Source organism: Homo sapiens, chromosome 5 (genome assembly GCF_000001405.40).
Source record: "Homo sapiens chromosome 5, GRCh38.p14 Primary Assembly".
NCBI classification, from domain to species: domain Eukaryota; kingdom Metazoa; phylum Chordata; class Mammalia; order Primates; family Hominidae; genus Homo; species Homo sapiens.
Window position 1 is genome coordinate 102,370,456 of NC_000005.10, and position 20,636 is coordinate 102,391,091.

At 32.8% G+C, this 20,636-nt stretch overlaps 1 protein-coding gene across 9 annotated transcripts in view; it reads right to left on the reverse strand.

Annotated features, from left to right (window-relative positions):
• Positions 1 to 1,318: 1,318 nt before the first annotated feature.
• Positions 1,319 to 20,636, reverse strand: part of SLCO6A1 (solute carrier organic anion transporter family member 6A1) — a 127,228-nt gene continuing 107,910 nt past the window's right edge. For 5 of the 9 annotated variants that reach the window (XM_011543148.3, XM_011543147.3, NM_001289004.2 and 2 more), the window contains 4 exons: positions 20,526 to 20,590; positions 18,233 to 18,370; positions 2,882 to 3,039; positions 1,319 to 1,668 (listed from right to left, as the gene is read on the reverse strand). In XM_011543148.3, the coding sequence (XP_011541450.1) occupies positions 2,897 to 3,039; positions 18,233 to 18,370; positions 20,526 to 20,590 (346 nt within the window). In that variant the 3' untranslated portion in view covers positions 1,319 to 1,668; positions 2,882 to 2,896. Of the gene's footprint in view, positions 1,672 to 2,881; positions 3,040 to 18,232; positions 18,371 to 20,525; positions 20,591 to 20,636 lie in introns of all 9 variants that reach the window. The other 4 variants (NM_001308014.2, XM_047416703.1, NM_001289002.2 and 1 more) reach the window with 2 other exon arrangements.

The window sequence follows — 20,636 nt, forward strand, 5'->3', positions numbered from 1 at the left end:
TTTCAATAGCAGATATTCAGATCCTCAGAAAGTAGTCTCACATTAGAGTTTGAAAACCCATATTGTGCTATATATGATACCCAAATAAAATATTATATTGTCTATATTATATATAGACAATGTTAAAAATATAAAGAGTGCTTTAAAAAATATTAAATTGAACACACCTTTACTTCTCTGTGTCTGCCAGACTGAAAGAACCAAATAAATATAAAAATGGGAGCAAACTCTTTATAGTGCTGAAAACGGAGAAATACGCCATTAATAAACCCCAAATTGACATTTTCCTAGCTACATATTGCATTTCTGGACTACATTTAACACTAGATTAACTGCTAGATGTTACAAGCAGTAAAATTTCAATCTGATATAAAAAAAGAATCCAAAAAGAAAAAGAGTAAGAACCTGAGATTTTTATAGCAATCATTTTAAGAACTCAGAACAAGTGCAACTTGAAGAGCACAAATAAATTATCATCAATTTTAAAATATGAGCATTTCCATATGCATTCATTTACAGTGTCCCTTTAGGCAAAATTAAGCACCAGGACTGAGTAGGCTTATGGAGAAAATATTGTTAAGGTTAAACCATTCAAAAATATTCAACTTTGTAACCAGAGCTCTAACAAAAACAATCAGAATCTTAACACACCTTAGCACAGTTAAACCTCCACTAGCATTTTTACCCACCACCATAGTCAGTCCTTTGTAGTATTAAATGCTGGGGCTCACCTTCCTCCTTTAAAATGTAGGTCCTTGAGGATATGAACTCCAAAAAGAGGCCAGTTTCATCAAAGTTAGAATTCCAATATTTAGAAGTATCTTTGCAGCTTCTTCACCTGCACTTACAGTATCCTTAGGTACATTAATACTCTCAAAAGTATAATGAACCTTGATGGCATTAACTCATTCAAAATTGACTCCAAAGGAAGGCACTTCTGTGGGATTTTTAGCATTTTTTAAGATTTAATTTATTGCTAAGATCTTCTCTATAATAGTGAAAAACTTCCCCTGATTACTTAAAGAGGTATTAAATTGGAATTAACCAATAGAACTTCTGAGTTATATTTACATTACTTCCCTGTTTATCAATCCTCCATGAATTAGTTTGTGATACAGAAACACGTACTCTGTAATAGCAAAAATCTATATTTAAATTTAAAGTTTCAACAGTACTTCCCAATCCATAATTTTTATTATACCTTCACTGATTTATTTTCTGAAAAAAAAGAAAGCAAGAGAAACATAAACAGGTAATATGTATCTATACACACACACACACACACACAAACACCCCACAAACACACTGTACAAGCATGTTCAAAGTGGCTTTGAATGTTATTATTTTACTTTATTTCCTAGTTGTATAATTTTTAATATTTCTAGACAGCAGAATATTAAGAAGAAATGTAAATAATCTAAAATTATTAAACTTTAATTCTCCCAGTAAATCCTAAAAATTCTACATACATTAAAAACATTATCAGAAATGTTTCACAATAGGACACTTTATTATGAAAATGCAGATCACCATAAATATATTTTTGCTACTTATGTAAACATAATGTGTGATTTTCCTCTTCTGAAAGTTGGGCACAGAAACAAATCTTGGAGAATCTGTAAAAGAGAAACTCGTTTTCACACTCTGATCCTCAAATGATCTGCAATCCTGCTGGTTCAAACAGAGAAGAGTCAAGCAATCAAGTAGAGTTTTACATGAAGACTAGTTTATAGGTTTTTAAAATGCATGTTGAAATAAAATATACAACAGGAAATAAAAATGTGTAGTAAGATATGAATATTCCCTGCTTCACATTTTCTTCTGCTAGCCACGACCATGAATAGGGCAATGTCTACCCATCCACATAGGGTCATTGACTAATGTTAATAACAGAGGAGAAATTTTGTCAGCTATTATCACTTCTCCCAAGAAAACAAAGAAACATTGTAGAGAACCTTGTTCCACAACAATCTGATTTTTATACAATATTTGGAAAATCTAATTTCGATTGATGTACAATAATGTATAAAAAATTATAACAAAATCTCTATACAAATGCATTTTAGCTTAAAAAATCTATAAATAGTTGACACATTTTCTACATTTAAATATTTCTTCACATTAAATAATTACGATTAATTATAAAATGAAGTGTAAAAGCAAGCAGAAAAGTGGGTTTCAACTCAGATTATCAGCTAGTCTTTATCAATAAAATCCAAGTGAAGGTAAAAAAAAAAAGGAAAAAGGTAACAAAAAACAGGTAGAAGTATATGAGTATATTGAATTTTATGTTTACTAAGATTAACGAAACATCAAAATATTTATTATAAACTGGTCAATTAACCAAAGAAATTTTCTGAGGAAACCTCTGTATGTCAAATCATAGATAAATAAAATGTTAATTTTTAAAAGGTTTAAAATAGTCCTTTTTGGAAAATAAATATAACTTTAATTTCAACTTTAATTATATGAACTTAAGTGGCAAATATACTTTTATTTAGAAAAATGGAGAAATAAATATCTACTGCCCAAATCAAAAGTACTAAGAATAAGCTAAAAAGGGAACCTAATTAATTCCAAATAGCAAAGGCCAACAACTAATGGGCTATCACGTCAGTTAAAATTAACCTAGGTGTATTTTCCTATTTTCACTCAATCTCTTTCAATCAAAGTATTATCTTTCATTGAAAGTATTAAATGTGTATTTTATATTTTTAAAAATTTTAAACACAGACTATATTATTATATTTGCACTCAAAATATAATAAAATATATAGAATTATATGAAGCACATTTGTTAAACATGTAATTACATTATTATTACTTTAAATTTTATTAATATTAATATTTCATTGATAGATTGACAATGTGTAATTCTTACACAATGATGATCCAGTTACAAGTCAGTTTCTTCTTTTTTCTTAACTTTTGGATTCTTCACAGTTACATCTGGGAAGTCAGTGTTCTCATTTAGACGACGTTTGTATATGAAAAATGCAATAGTAGTGAAGATGATAGTGCATAGTTTGCAAAGAAAACCTAAATTTAAAAAATGCAATGATCAGATATGTCCATGTATTTAGAACAAAAATGTAGGCAAAAATGCTATTTACCAAAGAAAGGTAAGCATATTTCACCTATAAAGGTATAAATTTCCCAATTTTAGAATGCAATTAATGCCATAAAATTATATTAAGTTACTTAAAGGAGATTTTTAAATGTTTATAATATGTTTTAGATTTCTTAGACATATTACCCCCTTCCCAAGTGCAAGGTGTGCTATTACCTCATAGACTGTGTTAATTCTGAAACATGAAATATAAATTCTGACTTTCAAAACTTAGCTATCAATAGGAACCAGAGCTAAGTCATTTCATGCAGCTTTGCTCTTTTTGAAATATTCATCATTTTTCAAATAAAACAAATATTACAGAAAAGTTCATTAATTTTGCAGGTTTTTTCATTTTCATGTTTCAAGCTGCAGAAAGTTAATACATTACAACATTACAAGCATTATACAAATGTACTTGAATATTGGATGCAATATTTAATTAATTCTTTTTCAATTTTTTTAAATTAATTCTTTTTTTTTTTTCTTTTGAGACAGGGTCTCACTCTGTCACCCAGGCTGGAGTGCAGTGGCACGATCTTGGCTTACTGCAGCCTTGACCTTCCCGGCTCAAGCGATCCTCCCACTTCAGCATGTGCCACCACACCTGTCTAATTTTTATAGTTTTTGTAGAGACGGGGTTTTGCCATGTTGCTCTCTCAAACTTGTGAGCTCAGGCGATCTCCTTGCCTTCAAATCCCAAAGTACTGGGATTACAGACAGGAGCCACCACCATGCTTGGCCTATTTTTCTTTTTCTTGAAACAGGACCTCCCTTTATTGCTCAGGCAGGGGTACCCCTAACATAGCTTACTGCAACCTGAACTGCTGGGCTCAAGTGATTCTCTGGCCTCAGCCTCCTGAGTAGCTGGGACTACAGGTGGTGACACCACACCTGGCTAATTTTTTAGAAATGGGATCTTGCTAGTTTGCCCAGGCTGGTCTTGAACTCCTGGCCTCAAGTGATCATCTCGCCTTGGCCTCTCTAAGTGTAAAATATTTTACAGTCACAATATCAATTATCTGACATAATGGTTTCAAGATAAAAAGGAAACATTAATGATTCTATGCCATTTATAATGATACAATAACATTTTATACATTTTACAGGGAAAAATACCATTTTTAAATGGTAGTTATATCTGACATAGTTGTAACATTAAACAATTGTAACATAGTAAATAACACAGTAAATAATTATAGTAAATTATTCTCTTTAGGGTATAGCTTGTGAAGAAAAATTGAGCAATTTTGAACAACAAGCCAGTAATGCTTCCAAGAAAAAGGGAATTATTGCAGCAGGCAAATTATCTGAAAATGATAGGAAAAGCTAGATTAAAATCTTCTGTTTAAAGACTTGATAGAGCTGATGAAGAAATGAGAAAGAGATAGATTAATATCCAAGGCAGGGCAGAACTTAAGTGGAGGTGATCCGACTTTTGCAACAGCTTTTTCTCTGTGGTTATTTTCTATATTGGATGGGGGCAAGGGGCTAAAATACAAACCTTTACTCTGGCAAAAGATGCTGCTGAAGAACAAAGATTCATTTGGTCTAACAGGGCTGAAGTGACAAAGTTGAAGACAGCAAAGCTTTCAAACAAATAGCAAGACATATGCTGGATATCAAAAGCCAAGAGGGTCAGGACACTCAAAGATATGTAGCCTAGTTGTGAAGCACAGGCAGGTCTACACAATTTTGCCATTCTAAAGCACTACTATAAGACAAAGTTCTAGTCACTTACCCCTCGAAAATTTGAAGCCAGTAGGGAACCAACTCAAACTAAAGCTGCAAACTAGCCACCAGTTGAGTCAGAAATTTAATTAACTTACCCTCCACTTAGGTAGAATAACAGAAGAAGGAAAATGTCTGTTTCTGAAGGCACATATTTATTTCAGTCTGTATTATTCTATTACACAAAAGGTCTGGAATGCAATCATATGTTGCAAGACATATGAAAAAGCCAGGAAATACTATTTCCCATTAAAAGTGAAAGCAGTCAATAAAAACTCAGAGAGTTTCTAGCAGTTGGAATCAACAGGTGGAAACTTTAAAATAATAATAGTTATGGTGAAACATATTTATGTTTATTTATCTACCAGAAAAGGCCGACAGGGTGCATGAAGAAATGAGAAATTTTCAGTATAGAAATACAAACTACAAAATGAACTTCGTAAAATAACTAGAAATTAAAAAAGCAAAGATAACAGAGCGTCCAAGATACATGAAATAGTATCAAGTGATCACACATATATTAAATAGAGCCCCAGAAGGAGAGAGTAGGAAAAATGAGATAAAATAAATATTTTGAATGGTGATGTCCAAATACTTTCCAAAAATGTAGAAGACATCAACCCATGGATCCAAGGAGCTCAGCATACACAAAAGAGGGAAAAAAAGCAATGATACACAGAAAACCATACTTAGGCACATTGTAGTCAATTTAACAAGAGTCAGACAAAATCAAAGAGAAAATCTTGAATAAAATCCAAATAAAAAGACATATTACATGTTGGAAAGCAACATCACTAATGACAGCTAACTTCTCGCCAGAAACAATGGAGACCAGAAAGTGATGTAATGCCTTTAAAATTCCGAGAGTTACAGGATTCTATATTAAGCAAAAATATCTTTCAAAAATAAACATAGCCAAAATACAGTCTCATTAAACAAAAATGTAAAATAATTCATCTCCTGTATAAAAGAAATGCTAAAAAAGATGTTCTTCAGGTGCCTATACTAGAGAGAATATTGCAGATCTGCAGAAAGGGCACATATTTAGATGAACCTAAAAGAATATATGTACACGTACACATACACATACATCATATTAATATTAAAGACAAGATAGATTTTAAGAAAAAGATCACCAATGGAGGGGGAGAAATGGGCATTAAGTAATAATAAAAATAACAATTCATCAAAAAGACATAAAAATCCTATGTGTGTGTGCCAAACAATAGGGCTTCAAAATATCTAAAGAAAAAAATGGAAAAATTAAAAATAGAAATGGATGTATTAACCAACCTACAAATTTTAGCATCCCTCAAGTCAATAATAGAACACAAATACAATGATACAATCTGAACATGATCTGAATAATACAAAATGAGCTAATTGATATTATCAAAAGACAATACCAAATAACTGCAAAATATGCATTTCTAGGTGTACATGAATAATTCATGAGATAGAGCATCTGATAGGTCATAAGAGACGTTTCAATGAATTTCAACTTCTGTGACCCACCAATTCCACTTTTGGGGATTTACCCAATAAAACAAAAACATATGACTATGAAAACATTTGTACAAAAATGTGAGCTGGGCACAGTGGCTAGCACCTGTAATTCCAAAACCTTGGGAGGCGAGGCAGGAGGATCACTTGAGGCCAGGAGTTCAAGATCAGCCTGGGCAACACAGTGAGACTTCCTCTGTATTAAAAGTAAATAAATTAGCCGGGCATGGTGGCATGGACCTGTAATTCTAGCTGCTCTGGAGACTGAGGCAGGAGGATTACTTGAGGACATGAGTTCGAGGTTACAATGACCCATGATCTCTCCACTTCACTCCAGCCTGGGTGACAGAGCAAGACATTGTCTCAAAAATATATATACACAGAAGCCTCATTTATAATAACCAAACACTGTAAACACTCCAAGTATTGTTAATTAATAAGAGAAAGGATAAACTGTAGCATATTCACAAATTGAAATAGTACTTAGTACTCAGCAATTTCTATAAAGCACAAGCTAATGCTGTAGAAAGAACATTAATGAATCTTCCAAGAGCATAAAATTAAGCAAGATACACACGTAGAAGAGTACAGTCTTCTACTTATATAAATTTCTAGACCAAATAAAACTAAAATATTTTTTAAAAATCTGAAAGGAGTCTATCTGAAAAGGAGGGAAAATGACTGGAAAAGGTTATGGGAAAAATTTCCATATTTGGTTTTGGGTGTTTCCACAAGGGTACTCAATTATCAAAAGCCATCAAGTTGAACTTCTAAAATCTATGTTAATTTTATTAATTACACCTCAGTTTTTTTTAATAAAAAGAGTATTGTTTGATATATATATATATCTATAGATATAGACATAGACATATATATAGATATAGATAGATATAGAAACAATCTCACTCTGTCACCCAGGCTGGAGTGCAGGGGCACAATCTCATCTCACCGCAATCTCCACCTCCCAGGCTCAAGTGAGTCTCTTACCTCAGCTTCCCGAGTATCTGGGACTATAGGTGTGAGCCACCACATCCAGCTAATTTTTGCATATTTTTTGTACAGACAGGGTTTTGCCATATTGCCCAGGCTGGTCTTAAACTCTTTTTTTTTTTTTTAATAAAGAACAAAATAGTTTGGCAATTTATTAACTGGTAAACTCTAGCATATAAATTTAATGTATAAGTAATTTTCTGCTTATTGAATATTTATATAATTTCAAATTTTAATATTTATTTTCTTTTAATAAACAAGGTATTAATTTTTATTATACAATATATAAGTGTACCAAATGGAATTTTGTAGAAATTAGAATAATTATCTTGCCCTGGCTCATAGTGATTTGCAAAGTAATTTTCTTTTTTTTTAAATTATACTTTAAGTTTTAGGGTACATAAGAAAATGTGGCACATATACACCATGGAATACTATGCAGCCATAAAAAATGATTAGTTCATGTCCTTTGTAGGGACATGGATGAAGCTGGAAACCATCATTCTCAGCAATCTATCACAAGGACAAAAAACCAAACACTGCATGTTCTCACTCATAGGTCTTAAACTCTTGAGCTCAAGCTATCTGCCCAACTCAGGCTTCCCAAAGTGCTGGGATTACAGTCATAAGCCACCATGCCTGGCCATTTGATATATTTTTTACAAACCAAACAGTGTGACCATCACTTGAATCATGAATGAAATATTGTTAGCACCCTGGCAACCCTACTTATGATTCCTCAGGGTCACTAACTGATAAAAGTTAGTTTTGTTTGCTCTTGAATATATTTATATAGCAAACCAAAATTATGTAAGTGGAATTATATAGGGCCTACATACTCATTTGTGTCTGGTTTCTTTCATTCAACATAATGTTTGTGTGATTCATCCATATTTTATGTAGTTGTGTTCTTTTCATTTTCATTGTTGTACAAAATGCCATTGTTGAATTTACCACAATATATTATCCATTCTATTGTTGTTTTTGTTTGTTTGTTTGTGGTTTTTTTTGAGACAGAGTTTCACGCTTGTCACCCAGGCGGGAGTGCAGTGGCATGACCTTGGCTCACTGCAACCTCTGCCTCCTGGGTTCAAGAGATTCTCCTGCCTCAACCTCCATTTAGCTGGGGTTACAGGTGCCCGCCACTACGCCTAGCTAATTTTTGTGTTTTTAGTAGAGATGGGGTTTCACCATGTTAGCCAGGATGGTCTCGAACACATGACCTCAGGCAATCTGCCCACCTCGGCCTCCCAAAGTGCTGAGATTACAGGCATGAGCAACTGCACCCAGTCCTTCAATTGTTTTTGGGTATTTGATATCTACTTTTGTGAAGAATTTTTTCAAGTCTTTTATCCACTTTTTTGTAAGGTTATCCTTTATTTATTGATTTGTGGGAGTGCTTTATTTATTCTGATAATTAGTTCTTTTTCACTTTGGTTCACTGTATTCCACATTGTTATCTTTTATCTTAATTTTTTTGGTAATAATTTGTTAATTTTACTACAGTCTGATTTATTTTCTAGGTAGTGCTTCATGTGTCCTGTTTATGTTCTTCCTACTCCAAGGTCATGAAAATATTCTCCCATTTTTCTCAAAAGGCTTTATGGTTTTATCTTTCATATTTAGATATGTAATGCGTCTGGAACTGATGTTTGTATAAGATGTGAGATAGGGATCAAAACACATTTTATTAGACATGCATAAAATGGCCAATAACCTTTTTGTTTGTTTAACCATTGCAGGGTCCCCTTCATCGTAAATTAGTTGAGTGTGCATATGAAGGTTTGTTTCTGATTTTTCTATTCTGTTCCATTAATCAATGTGTTGATGCTTGCACCAATACCACATTGTATTAATTATTATAGCTCTATAATAGGTTTTTATATGTTAGCATATATTCCTCAATTTTGTTTCAACTTCAATATTCTCATAGTAATTCTTACCCTTTAGCTTTCCATATGAATTTTAGTTATTTTGTCAATTTCAAAAAAAAAAAAAAAAATTTCTCTTGGGATTAATTTGTGATCACATGCTGTAGATTAATTTAGGATAAATGGCATTTATTAATGTTCTTATCTGTGAACTTTTTCCCATTTATTTAGATTTTATTTAATTTTTCTCAAATTGATTTTGTAGTTGTCAGTGTAGACGTTTTGTACAACTTAAATTTTTTATTGCTATTTGATTTTTTGGTGTTATTGTATTTATCATATTGTATTTTAATTTGGTTGCATCTGGTATTTGGAAACAAAATTGATTTGGTACAATGATTATATATTTAGCAACTTTGCTGAATTCATTTATTAATTCTAATACATTGTGTTCCCTGATATGGGTGCTAATTACAGGTGTGTTCAATTTATAAAAAAAGTGTTGAGCCATATATTTATATGTGCTCTTTCTTATATATGTATATATTATATTTCAATAAAAATTCTACCAAAGAAACCATGTGAAGTGGTAAAAATGGCAAACTAAGAAACAAAATGTTTGCAAAAGGCTTATCTACTCTACTGCAAATGAACTAGAGCTGATGGAATCCTTCATTTGAGGTAAAAGCATTAGATGAGTCATCCTAATTAAAACTTAAGATTTGAAAAAGAAAGATCAGATAGACTTCCTTGCCAACAAAAAGAACTAATGCAACTAATTTTTATTAATATTTTGAGAATCTGATGAATGTCACAGCCTTTTCCCCAGGAGGAAAAAATTGAACATAAAAATATGTGTGCCAAATTTTCCATTTCAAATATACTGGAGTTCATTCTTAGCACTTAAGATTTCACAGATCACTGTTGAGTAACCCATGCTCTAGAGTAGTGCTAGGCATAAAACCTTTAGCAATGAAGGCAGTCTTCTACATCTGCACTATTCAATAAAGTAGCCACTAGCCAAATGTGATCATTAAAGATGTAAAATTTGCCTACTGTGACTAAGGAACTAAATTTGTAATTGAATTGAATTTCAGTTAATGTAAATGTAAATTTAAATAGCCACATGTGGCAAATGTCCTTCATATTGGACAGTACAACTCTAGCTCCTCTAACGTATTAAGAGCTATCTTCAGCAGTTTACTATGGTTGAAATCACCTGAGTACTTTATTTAGAGTAAGCATGCCAACCACCAGTCCATGGAATTCTTTTCTCCCTAAGCTTTATAATGGTTTAATTGACAAATAAATAAAAAGGGTATATATTTATAGTATAAAGCATTAGTTTTTGATGACTATACACTTTAAAATGATTAAATCAATGTATTTAATATATTTATCACATTATTCGGTTATTTTTTTGGGGGTGAGAATACTTAAGTTCTATTCCCTTGGCAATTTTCAAGTATACAATACATTAACTAAAGTCACCACATTGAACAATAGATGTCAAGAATTTATTACTTCTGTCTAACTAAAATTTTATATCCTTTGACCAATATCTCTCATTTCCCATTTCCATCACCAGCCCCTGTCAACAACTATTCTATTCTCTGCTTCTGTTTGATTTTTTTAGATTCCATGTATAAGTGAGAGCATGCTGTATTTGTTTTTCTATGCCTAGCTTATTTTGCTTAACATGATGTCCTGTAGTTTCACCCACATTGTTGCAAAAGACAGAATTTTCTTCCTTTTTAAGGATGAATAGTATTCCATTGTATGTATGTCTCTCATATTTCCATTGTCTATTTATCTGTCAATGAGCACCTAGGTTATTTCCATACCTTGACTATTGTGAATAATGCTGCAGTAAACAAGGGAATGCAGATATCTCTTAAACATATTGATTTCATTACCTTTGGATATACACCCAGTAGTGAGATTGCTGGATCATGTGGTAGTTCTATTTCTAATTTTTTGAGAACTTGTTTTCAGTAATGGCTGTACTAATTTGCATTCCCATCAGCAGTTTGCAGGGTTCCCTTTTTTCCACATCCTCACCAATATTTATCTTTTTTTTTTTTTTTTGGTAATACACATTCTAACAGATGTGAGGTGATATCTCATTGCAATTTTCACTTGCATTTTCCTGATGATTAGTGATTTAGGCATTCAGAAATATAATTGTTGGCCATTTTTATGTCATCTTTTAAGAAATATCCTTTCATGTCCTTTGTTCATTTTTTAATCAGGTTATTTCTTTACTTACTAATAAGTGTTTGAGTTCCTTATATATTTTGAATATTAGCCCCTTATCAGATATATGGGTTGCAAATATTTCTCTTATTCCATAGGTTATCTCTTTACTCTGTTGACTGTTTCCATTGCTGTGCAAAAAGTAGCTTTTTTGTTTGTTTAATGTAATCCTATTGTCTATTTTTGCTTTTGTTGCCTATGCTTTTTACAGTTACATATATTACATTTAAGGCTTTAATTCATTTTGAATTGATTTTTGTATATAGCATGAGTTCAATTTCATTATTCTGCATATGGCTATCCTGTTTTCTCTGTGCCATTTATTGAAAAGACTGTCCCATTGTGTGTTCTTGGCACATGTTAAAGATCAATTGTCTATAAATGCATAGTTTATTTCTTTGTTCTCTATTCCATTTCAATGGCCTATGTCTGTTTTATGCCAGGACCATGCTGTTTTGGTTACTATAGCTTTGTAGTATATGTTGAAATTAGATAGGGTTACGCTTTCAGCTTTGTTCATTTTGCCAAAGATTGTATTGGCCATTGAAGGTCTTTTGTGATTTCATGCAAATTTTAGGATTTTTTTTTTTTCTATTGCTGTGAAAAATGTCATTGGGATTTTGATAGGTACTGCTTGGAATCTGTAGGTCACTCTGGGTACTATGAACATGTTAACAATTTTAATTCTCCCAATCTATGAACATAGGATATTTCCATCTATTAGTGTCTCCTCTTTTATTTCTTTCATCAATCTCTTATGATTTTCAACATACAGATCTTTTACCTCCTCAGTTAAATTTATTTCTGTCTATCTCTTTTTTGACACTACCATAAATGGGAATTTTTTTTGATTCTCTTTTAGATAGTTCTTGTTAGTTGTAGAACTACTACTGGTTTTTAAATGCCGATTTTATCCTGAAACTTTACTGAAATCACTTACTAGTTTTAACAGTTTTTTGGTGGAGATTCATACATATATGTGTGTTCGTATATACATATATATACATGAGATATATACGTGTGTGTATATATATGAGAGATATATATATGTGTATATATATGAGAGATATATATATGTGTATATATATGAAAAGTCTATTGTATATATATGGTGTACACATACATGTATATATATGACACTCTACCAAAAACTATATATAGTGTATGTATATGTGTGTGAATATATATATATATAGTGTTTTATATACATAAATAATGTCATTTGCAAAGAGAAACTATTTTGCTTCCTGCTTTCTAATTTTAGGATGCCATGTTTCCTTTTTCTTGCCTAATTGTTCTGTTTAGGACTTCCCACACATATTGAATAGAAGTGGATAGAGCAGATAGACATCTCTGTCTTTTTCCTGATCATAAAGAGAAAGCTTTCAGCTTTTCACAACCATGATATTAGGTCTGAGTAAGTAATATATTTGCTTTATTGTGTTAAGATACATTCCTCTATATCTAATTTTTAAAGGATTTTTATCATGAAATGATGCTAAGTTTTGTAAATACTTTTCCTTCACCTATTGAAATTATCGTATTATTTTTATCCTTTATTTTATTATGGAATATCACATTAACTGATTTGTGTATGTTGAGCCATCCTTGCACCTTAGGGATAAATCCCTCTTGATCATAATATATGATCCTTTTAAATGTACTGTTGAATTCAGTTTGCTAGTATTTTCTTGAGGATTTCAGCATTTGTGTTCATCAGGGATATTGGCCCTTAATTTTATCTTCTTTGGAGTGTTTTCATCTAACTTTGGCATCAGGGTAATTCTGGTCTCATAAAATGAGTTTAGAAATGTTCCTTTCTCTTCAATTTTTTAAAAAGTTTGAGAAAGGTTAGTATTATTTCATCTTTAAATGTTTAGCAGAATTCATCAGTGAAGTCATCGACTCCTATGCTTTTCTTGATTTTGATTGCTAATTCAACTCTTAATTCATTATTGGTCTGGTCAGATTTTCTACTTATTCATGATTATGTCTTTATGAAGTTTTATGTTTATAGGAATTTGTTCATATTACCTAGGTCATCCAATTTGATGTATAATTTTTCATAATAGTCTCATGATCCTTTTTATTTCTGTTGCATAACTTTCAATGTGTTATCTTTCATTTATAATTTTATTTATTTGAGTCTTCTCTCTGTTTTTCTTAGTCTAGCTAAGGGCTTGCCAGTTTAATTTATTTTAGCAAAAATCCAACTCTTTATTTTGTTATTTTTTTCTATTATTTTTCTAATCTCTATTTCACTGACATTTGCTCTGATTTTTATTATTTCTTTTATTCTGCTGACTTTGGGCTTAGTTTGTTCTTTTGTTTCCCTTGCCCCTTGAGGTGTAACATTAGATTCAGTCAGTCAGTAATGTTTGATTAGAGATTTTAACCTATTTACATTTAAAGTAATTATTGATAGTTAAGGACTCACAACTGCCATTTTTAAATTGCTCTCTGACTGTTTTCTGACTCTGTTGTTTTCCTACATTCCATTCTTTTTTCTTTGCTGTCTTCCTTTGTGGTTTGAATTTTTTTTTGTAGTGGCAGTACGCTTTTCTAAATCCTTTTAACTTTTTTATATTTTGATCAGATACTCCTTATTTGTTACAGTTTCTGGTTACCATAGGGTGTACATAAAATATTTTACAGGTATAACTATTTGTTTTATGCTGATAACCACTTAACTTCCATTGCATATGGAAACTCTAGATTTTAACTTCTCTTCATCCCACATTTACTTAACATATTACTGTAGCTATAGTTATTTTTTCATACTTTTGTTGAGTTGTATAGTACATTTAAAAATGATTTAATCATCACTATTATAGTAATAGAGTATTCCAAATTTGACTATGTATTTGACCACGTATTTACTTTTACCACTGAGTTTTATACTTTCATATGTTTTCATGTGGTTAGTTAGCAACCTTTCAATTCAACATTAAGACCTCCCTTTAGCATTTCTCTCTCTTTTTAAGCAAAAAAGCAGAGATTTATTAAAAATGAAAGTACACTCCACAGTGTGGGAGCAGGCCTAAGCATAATGGCTTAAGATCTTCCCTTTAGCATTTCTTGTAAGTCAGGTCTAGTGGTGGTGAATTCCCTCAGCTTTTATTGTTCTGGAAAAGTCTTTTTTCTTTTTTCTGATGGATGGACTTCTCAGGTGTAGTATTCTTGGCTGGCAGTTTCTTTCTTTCAGCACGTTAAATATATCATTCTACTGTCTCTTGGCCTGCAAAATTTCTGCTCCTAGTCTTATAGAGGTTCCCCTATAGTGATGAATTGCTTTTCTCTTACTGCTTTCAAAATTCTCTCTTGCCTTTGACTTTTGTGAATTTGATTGTAGTGTTTTCAGTGAAGACTTCCTTACATCTTATCTATTTGGTGTTACTTATGCTTCATGGATCTGGATATTCATTTCTCTCTCCAGATTTGGGAAACTTTCTGTCATTATTTCTTTAAATAAGCTTTCTACCCCTTTATCTTTCTCTGTTCCTTCTGGGACTCTCATAATGCATAGATTGGTTTGCTTCATGGTGTTCTGTAATTCCAATAGGCTTTCTTCACTGTTTTGTATTCTTTTTTATTTTCACTCTTCTGACTGGGTAATTTTGAATGCCCTGCCTTCAAGCTCACTGATTCTTTCTTCTGTTTGATCTACTCTGCAGTTGAAGTTCTCTATGAAATTTTTCAGTTTAATTATTGTGTTATTTAGCTCTAAAATTTATTTCTTTTTTATGGCTTGTATCTCTATTGTATTCTCATTTTGTTTGTGTATTATTTTTGTTATTTTTCTGATTTTGTTTAGCTGTCTGTGTACTCGTGTAGCTTATTGAGCTTCAAGATGACTAATTTGAATTATGTGTCAGGCAGTTCACAAGTCTCCATTTTTCTCCTGTTTTTCCTTTTTTTTTTTTTTTTTTTAATTGAGATGGCCTCTGACTATGTTGCCTAGGCTGGCCTTGAATTCCTGGGCTCAAATGATCCTACTGCCTCAGCCTGCCAAGCCTCTCAAGTAGCTGGAATTACAAATACACAACACCACACCTGGTGAGTCTCCATTTCTTTAGAATCAGTTACTGGTGTTTTATTGCGTTGCTTTGGTGGTGTCATGTTTTCCTGATTATTTGTAATCCTTGTGCCCAGGCATTGGATCTGCACTTTTGAAGAAGTAGACATTTATTCCAGTCCTTACATACTTGACTAACCCAGTGCCTGGGTCAGCAGATGGGCTGGCCTGATTCATGGGTCTACAGGAGCTGGCCTAAAGCCTGGATCCACTGTGATAGGCCTGGATCCTGTGTTCACCTTGGCTAGCCTGGTGCCAAGGTCCACTGAGATGGACTTTTTGACTGAGCCCATGAGAGTAGGCCTGGACCCTGAGTTTGTGGGGGCCAACCTCAAGCCTATGTTCATGGGGGTTGAGATGGTGCTGGGGCAGGCCTTGAGCACTTTTGGGGTGGGCCTTGTTTCTGCATCTGCAGAGGTGGTTCTAAAGCATGGGTCTGCAGGGGCCAGGACTGCATTGGGGTCTACTGGAGTGAGCCTGGACCTTACGTCCATTGGAACCTAGGGCTATGGGGACTACTCTGGAGCCTGGGAATACAGGGGACAGGTCTGGAACTTGTATTTGCAAGGGCTGGCCTGGAAGTTGGGTCTGTGAGTATCAGCCTGGTGCCTCAGGCTGCAAGTTCCCAGCCCAGTGCCTAGGGCTGCAGGTGCTGGCCTGAAACTAAGGTTTTTGGGTTCCAGTCTTGTGTAACACAGGATTGGGGGCATAGTCTGTGGGTGCCAGCCTGAAGTGCAGGGCTTTGGGACTCAACCTGTAGTTGCAGCAGGCCTGGAGTTTCCTCCACAGGTGTCTGCCTAGAGCCTGATGCTAAGAGGGTCAGCCTAGAGCTGTATTTTACTGAGACAGACTTGGTTTCGAGTCAATGGCAATCAGGTTCTTGCTTAGAGTTCATTCCTTCACATGGAGGGTATCTCTCTGCACTGTTCTGCCAGACTTTGGGGAAGGGTGATGCAGGTCATGTGAAATTATACTTCCTACCCTCTTCAATGTGTCTTTTCTTATTTCTCTGCTACTTCCATGTGCTATATTCTTTCAGTGTAATGTCTCTAGCTCTCCTGAAGGTATTTTCACACATGGATGGTCAAATAAATGTTTCTGTGAGGGAAGAAGTGCTGAAAACTCCTATTCCTCTATTTTGCTGATGTCTTCTAATCCCTGGAATTCTAATTCAGGGCCTCAGAATGTATATTTTTAATAAGAACACCAAGTGATTTTGAGTCATATAACCAATGAAATATATTTAAAAATATACTGGCTTACACTAAATTGCCACACATGCATAATGTTGCAGTTCTCTATCTTTGCCTTTTCTATTTGACTATAATTATTTATGTTTTTAATTATTCGTATCTCCTTTCAATAGCTCCCTACTGGAATCTCTTCTAGTTCACCAACTTTGTCAAGTACATACTGTGTTTGAAAACAGGTAACCATGTTACAATTGTATCTAAAATAAAAATTTAAAGTCTCAGCAAAGTTTTAAGACTTCCTTAAGAACATTTCTTATTTTTGTTGAATTGCCTCTAACAAGTTAATTTTGACTTCTCAAGTGTCATTTTGACTTTTTTGATTTTGTTTTATTTTACTCAGTTTCCAGTGTAGGTCAAGCTTGCTGAATACTTGACTTCGGAATTAGAAGGCATTGCTCTATACTTTTATCAAACAGATATTTGTTACTCTTAAATATTAAAGTCTATCATTATGGTTTTTTTGAATTACTGAATCTACTCAGTGAAACCATAAAACATATAAACACTTTAAAGTATGTATCACACAAAACATAATATACAATAAAATCATTTAACGTTTACTCTGATTAAGACTTCAGAAATTAGGCAGTACAATATCCTCATTTAACAGATGAATAAATTATTATTCAGGAAGATCTGATAAGTTTTCCAAAGTTATAAAAACATGTCTAGACTTTCCCAACACTTTGACCACATCTCATACCACCACGGCATCTCAAGTCCCTATATCTCTTATTTATTCAACAAATATTGAAAGGTTATTGTGTTCTAGGCACTGTTATATCATTGAACAAAAGAGAAAATATGAAGTGTAGATTTAACTGAAATAAGAGTGGCTTGATGTTCTCTAATGGTGCAAAAATTTTCTTCAAATTTAACCAACTTTTACTGTGGAGGTAGAAAGGGTTACAAGGTCAAGAAATTTTTTTGTATATGTACCTGGGCAAAATTATTTCCCAAACTAAAATTCTGCTAATTATCATTCTTTATTTGGGAACTATTACATATTTAACTCACTGACTCAAATACATAAATTCTATGGTACTTTAGTTTCTAAAATTTTTACTATATAACTAGATAATCCTTTTATTATTTTTTTATTTTTTGTTTTTTCTTTTGTTTTTGAAAGAGTCTCACTCTGTCACCCAGGCTGGGACAATGATGACTCACTGTAGCCTCGACCTTTCAGGCTCAAGAGACCCTCCCACCTCAGCCTTCTGAATAGCTGGGACTACAAGTATGTGACACCATACTCGGCTATTTTTTTATTTTTTAAAATTTTACTTATAGAGATGTGGTCTCTATTTTGCAGGTTAAGCCTCCTTTACTCATCAAAGTACTTATTTAATTCATGGTTTAAAATTATAATTCTACATTACTATTAACAACCATAACTTTTAGAAATAATTTTATTTCTCTAAGTTTTTTAATAAGTATCACTTACATATTCCTACCAATAAGAAAGCCATTTTTGTCTTGTTATATATCCAACAACGTCCTGTGTGTCCACATTTATTAACATCCCGTAAAATACAAGAAGTTTCTCCTGACATTTTAAAGATTGATGGTCCAGGAATAGTCCCTATGAAAAATGCAATGATTGTAAATTCTTTGTGAAAACACTATTCTCTTAAACATGTAATGCACACACAGATAATATATATGAATGACGACTCATCATTCAAAACATATCACTTAAAATTAGCTAATAATTTATTTATAAATAGGATTGTTAATCACTGGAAACAATGTGAGTTTTCAAAAACAATCCATATCCCTCTAGGTATGAAACAATTAGTAGTTTTGCTTCTGTTTAGAATGTTGTACATGTTGCTATTTAAACGACATCTCAATACTTTTATTGGCTTTTATGTGAAAAACTTAGGAGAAAGTACTTAAAACAGAGATACCAAATACTGATTCTGTGAAGTTAGTATGTCTTCAAATATCTTTAATTGTAAAATTTTCAACGACTGAAAAATGAGTTTGCAAATGTATATCTGTTATTTATCAAGACATTGAGAAAAATAACTGAAAATGCAAATACACTGGCATGTTTATAGTAGCCCCAGATTCAGATGACCTCAGATCCAGAGGACCAGCTGTGCTGCCTGAGGGAAACCTCTACATAGTCTCAGACAAAAATCTCCACAGCAGCAATGATACTTTCAGCCAAAAGTGAGTGAACAGTCACACACCCCGCCCCCCACCCCCACACACACAGAGTTGCCCCCAAACACACCAGACTCAGATTCTCAGAACTAAAAACTCTGATGGTGGATCATCTTTCTTGACCAAATATCAGGACCTTCTTGCCTAAATGACTCTTGATTCTTGCCAATGTGCATTATCTAGATTCGCTCCTCTTGGTGAGTGATAGTACTATTTTTAATTACTCAAGTTTAAAAAACAATTGACTACTATTCATTTTTTCCATTTTTTACCATCTTTTTTCAATCCATCATACATCTTTGTAACATTAACTCCAAACATATTTTGGATATGTTGTTTTCTCTCTATTTGTACTACAAACCCTAGAATCCACTTTAATATAACTGTTAGACTTCAGCAAAAGCCTCCCTTTTCTTTTCCTCCACATTTATCTCCTGTATTTTTTCTTCTATCAGCAGAGTTACCTTTTACTTTTTATTTTTAAAAACTGTTATTATTATTATTTTTAGAGACACAGTCTTGTTATATTGCCAAGGCTGGTCTCCAACTCCTGGCCTCAAGCCATCCTCCCTCCTCACTCAGCCTCCCCAAGTGCTGGGATTACAAATATGAGCACTGTGCCTAGCCGGGGTTATCTTTTAAATGTAAATCAAATAATATCTATCATATGCTTAAAATTATCTGGCAGAAAAACCCTAAAATATCTATAGACAGTTTATGTCTATAATATTTAATATCATCTTATTCTACCCTCTCCCATTCAAAAATACATCAGCCTTACTGGCTCCCTTTCCGATGCAGGAAACTTCCTGTGTACTGACTGACTGTTTCCTATGCTACCTCTTCCATTACAAATCTCTTACCTAGTGAATCATTGTCCAAAACAAAAATATTATCTAATTTTTCCCAGTTAAAAAGCTAATTTTAATCACACAAGTAGATCTAGCTATAGAATTTCTCTGATCTCTATCAGAGCCGCACTTAGATTTTTCTACATTTTTAAATTATATGCCTTTCAGTCTTTAATCCAAGAATTTAGTAAATCAGAGGTTCTAAAATGGTCATAATGTGCATTTGAAATCTAGTTTTTGCTATTTAAGAAATTCAAAGAAAATAGTACATTACCTCCCAACATTTATTTGTTCTTAGAAACAAATAAATCTTTGAAAACATTAGATTCAATGTCTTTGGTGATGAAAACATTTAAAAATGTTAGTCTAGGTTAGTAACTTCCCAAACACGCAAGCAATGTAAAGTATTACAAGAGTTTTGTATGAGCCTACCAAACCACTCATATGAGATGATTACTATATTTCAAATCAAATTTGTTGTCTCTTCTGATCAAATATAATATGCATATTTTATTTGATAATTTGATAATTAGAATGAGCTTTGCATTAGGTATTCCCTCTTTACATTGTCTCCTAAATTCTGCAAAGCAGCTCCCCCTTTCACTCGCTTTGTGTCATTTACTATTATTTATTTGTAATACTAAATACACATGTAGACATATATACATATCAAAAAACATTTTGATGTAATAAGAGATTGCCAAAAATCCATACCAAATATTCTCAAAATCACATAGCTTACACCCAAGGCCAGAGAACGCAGTTTGTCAGGTACAACCCTGAAAGTAAATAGCAATGATATAATCAGCACATCATTGTTATTAG